The sequence below is a fragment of the Homo sapiens genome, chromosome 6 (genome assembly GCF_000001405.40).
Source record: "Homo sapiens chromosome 6, GRCh38.p14 Primary Assembly".
NCBI classification, from domain to species: Eukaryota; Metazoa; Chordata; class Mammalia; order Primates; family Hominidae; genus Homo; species Homo sapiens.
Genome location: NC_000006.12, coordinates 145,135,309 through 145,137,568, shown reverse-complemented (window position 1 = coordinate 145,137,568; position 2,260 = coordinate 145,135,309). Strand labels below are relative to the sequence as shown.

The 2,260-nt window shown below is 41.3% G+C and overlaps 1 annotated feature.

The window, feature by feature from the left end:
- Positions 692-1,891: an enhancer, noted in NCBI's record as "BRD4-independent group 4 enhancer chr6:145456814-145458013 (GRCh37/hg19 assembly coordinates)". NCBI's record gives its function as "activates an origin of replication core promoter dependent on BRD2, P300/CBP, MED14 and CDK7 cofactors, and independent of BRD4, by STARR-seq in HCT116 cells {active_cell/tissue: HCT116}" and the evidence as "EXISTENCE:reporter gene assay evidence [ECO:0000049][PMID:35650434]".

The following is a 2,260-nucleotide window of genomic DNA, read 5'->3' as shown; positions in this document are numbered from 1 at the left end:
CTCAATAGCGCCATGGTTAGAACTTCAGTCCCAATGAATATGTATGGAGCATTTATATTCCAGAAACTGTGCTTAATTTGGGGGACATGGAATTCAATAAAACATGGCCCTCATTGTTGAAGAAGTCACAGTCTACTGATGAAAACTGATGTATAAAAAATTTAATAATAATGTGGTATTCACAAAACAGATGTTTATGCTTATGTTTATTTAGTAAAATGCTGTGTGAATACTGAGTTAGCAGGTAAATCTTCCTGGAGGAGTTAGGCATGTGTTATCAGTCAAGATGGGGTAGATTGTGCTATGGCAACAAACCAGTCCAAACTCTTATGGCCTTAACAGAGCAGAGATTTATCTCTCACTTATACAAATTCTACTATAGTGTGGTCTGGTCACCCACCTGGGTAACTGTTCTCTATATGGTGACACACTGGTCCACGGCTGAGGGAAGATTTGCCACTCGGTAGCTCCATCATCTTGAACACATGGCCTCTTCAATTGATACTGCAAGGGAAAAGAACATATATAGAGTCATGCATGGGCTCTTATGTGTTTCCAAGCAGAAGGGAACAGTGAACTTCTCACACCGTATTGGCCAAGTCACATGGCCATACCTAAGTTTAAGGGAGTAGAGAAGTACAGTCTTTTATATGCCTGGAAAGGCAAAAGAATCAAAACTATTGGTAAGAAGCATAATCACTTTCTAAAGGAGATCATATTTTAAATAGACAAATAATAATTGGGGGAAAAGTACTTTTGGCAGACAAAGAAACCTGTGTAAAGGCACAAAGATATGACATGGCCTGATGTGTTCAGAGATTCAAAGTTCAGAAAATTTCAGGAACTTGAAGGCAGAAGGTAAGGCTGGTGAGGTTAACAAGAGCTAGATAATTAATGACTAAATTATTTTGGAATTTATCATCGTGAACCAGCAGCAGTTTAAAACCATACAAGACACATGACCAGCTGCCATTTTTTAAAGAAACGTCCCATGTTAATGAGAAATGACTATATTGTGGCACATCTCAGCTAACACACATTTCTAAGAGTATCTGAAAGCTACAGAAAAATCTAACAGAAGAAGTATTTGGGTGTGAGAGCAGCAGCAAGTGTCATGATAGATTCAGAGTGCTGGAATCTCTTATACTTACCCAATACTCATTCCCAAATGATGTCTTGAGCACATGGGTATCAAAGCATGCAAGTATCAATGAACATAAGCAAGATCCTCCCTTCATTTGTCATTGGAATGGCAGAAACTTAAGTGCTATCTTTCCCGTATATCCTTGTTTATGATATTCTTCTGGGAGTCTACAGTCTTTTCTTTCCTATCCCATGAGAAAGTACGAGGTTGTAGGTATTTTTCCTGTTGCCAGACTTAAATAGAGTAGACCAAACTTTTCATGTAAAAGATAGACTCAGGAGAGGGGTGGAGCAAGATGGCGGAATAGAAAGCTTTACTGACCGTCCCCCACTACAAGGACACAGACTTAACAACTATCTACACAAAAAAACAACTTCGTAAGAACCAAAAATCAGGTGAGCACTCATAGTACTTGGTTTTAACTTCATATCACTGAGAAAGGCACTGAAGAGGTAGGAAAAACAGACTTGAATCAGTAATGTCACCCCTCCCCCAACATCCGGCAGCGAGTGTCATGGTGCAGAGAGCAATTCTCCGTGTGGGGAGAGGGAGAGCACAGCAATTATGAGGCACTGAGCTCAATGCTGACCCATTATAGCAGAAAGAAAAACCAAACCAAATTCAACTGATGCCCGCCCATAGAGTGAGCATTTAAACAAGCCCTAACCAGAAGAGAATTTCCAATCCCAGCAGCGAGAACTTGATTTCCCACAAGTCTCATCACCATAGGCTAAATGCTCTGGGGCCCCAAATAAACCTCAATGCTGAGCTAGCCTCACGTCTGACCCCTAGGGTGGTGGCCACAGGGCTGCTTGTGTTACTCCACTCACAGTTCCAGGTGGTTCAGAAGAGAGAGAGAGAGAGACTCCATTTATTTGGGAAAAAGGAAGGGAAAAGAACAAGCACCTCTGCCTGGTAATCCAGAGATTCTTCTGAATCTTACCCAGGTCATCAAGGTGGTACCTGTATGAGTCTGTAAGAACCACAGTGTTAATAGGCTTGGGGTCCCCACTAAAGCAGATACAGCTTAGATCACAAGACCCAAGTCCTTTCAAATATCAGTAAACCCTTCTGAAGAAGGATGGGTACAAACAAGCCCAGACTGTGAAGACTACA